Here is a 3,431-nt window from a genome sequence, read left to right as displayed (position 1 = left end):
AGGCTCCCACTGGGTTGCAGGGACACCAAGCTGGGCTGCCAGCAGACATGGGGCCTGTGCCTGTTGGAATCTACAGCAGTGCTGATTGCTTTGGGATTCTGCAGTGAGTCCTCTGTGCTCCCCTCAGCCCCTAAAGCACCTATCTCAGCTCAGGGCTGGGTTTGCTTTTACAAAGGCCTTTCTGAGGCAGGACTTGTCTCCCTAGGTCGAGCCAACCTCCTTTCCAGGGTCAGAACTCCTTCCTGGCTCCCCTGCCGGTCCAGCCTGAGGTTGCTGTTAGGCCAGTGGTGTGGGGCCCATCTAGGGAGCGGGTGGGAATGGAGAGGGGGCTAGGTCAGGCCCCTGGGCTCTCAGCAGTTCTGTCTCCGAGTTAGCACAAGAGGAGGAAGGCAGCCTGAGGGTCTGGCCCTGTTCACTTGGAGACAACCCCAGTGAGATCCAAGCGTTGTGGCCACAGGGTGAGGGGAGGCCTGATCCAGCCTCGGGGCTGTTGTCCAGCAGGTCTCTGAGGGCCCACCTTCCCCTGTTCACCCCCATTTCCCTAGAGCTACAGCCCTCACTGTCCCCATGGGGAAGGGGGAAAGGCATGGGGACAGTAGGGGCTGTGGCCCTAGGAGAATGGGGGAGAAGACTGGCAGGGCCCTATTCTGGGCATCTCACAGAGAGCCAGGGAGGCAGCAGAGCTTGTGGCTAATGACTCTGGGTCTGGTGCTGGGAAGGGATCTGGGGCCAGGTAAGAGGAGCCCAGCCCGGAGCCCATCCCTCAGGGATCATAGGATGGAGAGATGGAGGATCACCGGGTAAGTAGTGTGGTAGGGAGCTTATGAGCCATGCCACTTCTGAAATGCAGTGTGTGGCTTGGGTGCAGGGAGAGGCAGGTGGACCCTGGGAGGTCAGATGCTGTAAGGGCCTTGGGACTCTCAAGTGGGATGGGCCCCTGGTGCACCCAGGGTGTACCAGGCAGGTCTCAGACCAGGCTCCCTAGACTGGTCACTCCTTGAGGGATTACTGTCAGGGCCTGGTCACCCACACTGGGTGGCCCGCATCCCATCCAAAGGCTGACCTTTCTCAGCTCCAGCAGAAAGCACCACCTCCAGTCCAGGAGGGGCAGACCCATTGTGCAGCCTGACCACCCCCCACACCAGGGGCCCCAGTAACCCCGGCCAGGCTGGCTCTGTACTCCCTCTTCTCCCAGGTCCTGGACCCTCCTGGGAGTCAGCCCCACAGGAAGGCCCTTGTCCTCCCTTCCCTGTGCCTTCTCCCGGGATGAGCCCTGAGCTGGATGGGACAGAGCCAGTCCTTTCTGGGGGTTGACTCCCTGAACCGGACGACTCCAGACCCTGTGCAAGTCCTCAGCTCTGCCTGGGTTCCCTTACAGTGAGACGGAGCTGCCCCCTGTCACTACCTGGAAGGTGAAGGTAAGAGCCTGATCCATCGGGGGCTGGTCCCGGGATGGGGGACTCAGTGGGTGGTTGATGAGGCAGAGGAGGCAGCAGGTCTGTGCAGTGGCAGGTGAGGGCAACACGCTGTCACTGGGAGGGGCAGCTATTCCTGCTGGACCTGACCCCAGGTTGTTGTATCTCTGGCAGTTTGATGAAATTCCAAAGTGAGAACCACAGTCATGGTATGGGGGTGGCTGCCCACTTGTGTTAGGACCCCATCTAGAGGCTGGGACCTGACCTACGACTGGTGTGTCTGTGGCCTGAGGATGGCACGTCCCGGGGTCCCAAGGCCAGCCCACTAGTGCTCATTTGCTCAAAGGCCCTCAGCCCTTAGGGTCTGCCCTTCCCTGGCTCCTTCCACCTGGGTCCCACCAAGGCTTCAGAGCCCAAGACCCAGCATCCACGGGCCACTCCGGGAAGCCTGGCAGCTCCGCTAACTCCAACATTTCTCATTTGACAGCAAATGTGGCAGGAGATGAGATGAAAGAGCAAGTGGATGGAAATGCTGGGAGAATGGGAGACATATCAGAACAGCAAAAAAGTAATGTGTGGAGGGAGAGGCCCCAGGAACCACTCTCTGCAGAGACAGGGGACAGGCACCCATGGCTGTGTCCTCTCAGAGGACGAATGGCACACTGTCCTCACCCAGAGGACCACAGGCCTGGTTGCCAGCTTTGCTGCCCATTCGTGCAAGCATCACCTTGCTTGGAGGGAATCTGAATCCAGAGATGGAGACCCCTGGAGCTCGGAGTAGGGATGCCTCCTGGTGACCCGAAAGGAGGAAAAGGTCCAGATCAGAGTTCAGGACTCTGAGTGCCCACACACTCTTTCAATCCTGGGAAGGGAGACCCTGTGCCAGCTTGACCTCACCTCTACTGAGGAATCATGGGGCCAAAACCAAAGATTTCCAGAATCCTCGGGCTCTGGTCCTCACTGGGGTTGTCCTGTGGCATGTGACACCAGATTGTTTTCTGCCCACAGCTGATTGAGTGAGTGTATAAAGGCATTCCCATTAATGTCCAGGGCCAACTGTGGTCAGGCCCCCTGAACATTCAGGAAAGCAAGGCAAAAAATCCCAGAAAATACCAGGCACGCTCAGCCAGACACAACAAACAGGCCAGGCCGTGTCAGGGAGCCAGGTCTCCAGCTGGAGGGAACATCAAGCCCAGGCTTTGGGGGTTGGGGGGTGGTCAGATGCACATCCTGGGCACAGATGGTGACATAGTCACCACAGACGAACTCGGCTCTCGTGACCCTCCCTGGCTTCAGAAACAAGCCAAAAAGCAGCTTTCTGCAGAAGGAAATCTTTCTTCTTTCCTTCCTTCCAGAAGGGCTGACTGTGGGCTGACTGCCATTTGGGGCAGAGAGTCTTCCATCTATTCTGAGCCTGCTTCCTCCTCTTGGCCCTGCCCTACAGGTCATGAAGGAGAAGGGCAAGAGGTCCTCTGGACACATCCACCAGATCGACCTGGACATGAGCCGGACATTAAGGAACCACCTGTTCTTCAGGGACCGATATGGAGTCAAGTAAGCCTATGGGAGCCACAGGGTCCCAGTGGAGATGGGGTGAACCAGAGGGATGGGGACTTCCCTGGAGCAGAAGCCAGGATCACCCAGGAGGGATGACAGAGCTGCCAAGAGCTCTCCTGTACCAGGGAGCAGCTGGTACCATGGACCGAGCACCTCCCAAGTTCCAAGCCCTGGGCCAGACTGGAACACGTGGGGCCAGAACCCAGGAGGATCCTGAGGAGACAGACGGCGGCAAAGAAAATCATGCACAATGGTGAAAAGTGCTCTCCCTGACCCACAGGGACCCATGGTAGGACCCACGGGAGGGCAGCAGGATGGAGGGCCCATGAGCTTCCCCAGGCAACACTGACAGGACCAAAAGCAGGGGGAGCTTGGGGTCCTGGAAACTCTCATCCAGGTCTGCTGGGAACATCACACGGCACAGCCACTTTGGCAGCCAGTTGTGCAGTGGCTCACAAA

Source organism: Homo sapiens, chromosome 17, assembly GCF_000001405.40.
Source record: "Homo sapiens chromosome 17, GRCh38.p14 Primary Assembly".
Taxonomy (NCBI): Eukaryota; Metazoa; Chordata; class Mammalia; order Primates; family Hominidae; genus Homo; species Homo sapiens.
This window is presented reverse-complemented; position numbering follows the sequence as displayed.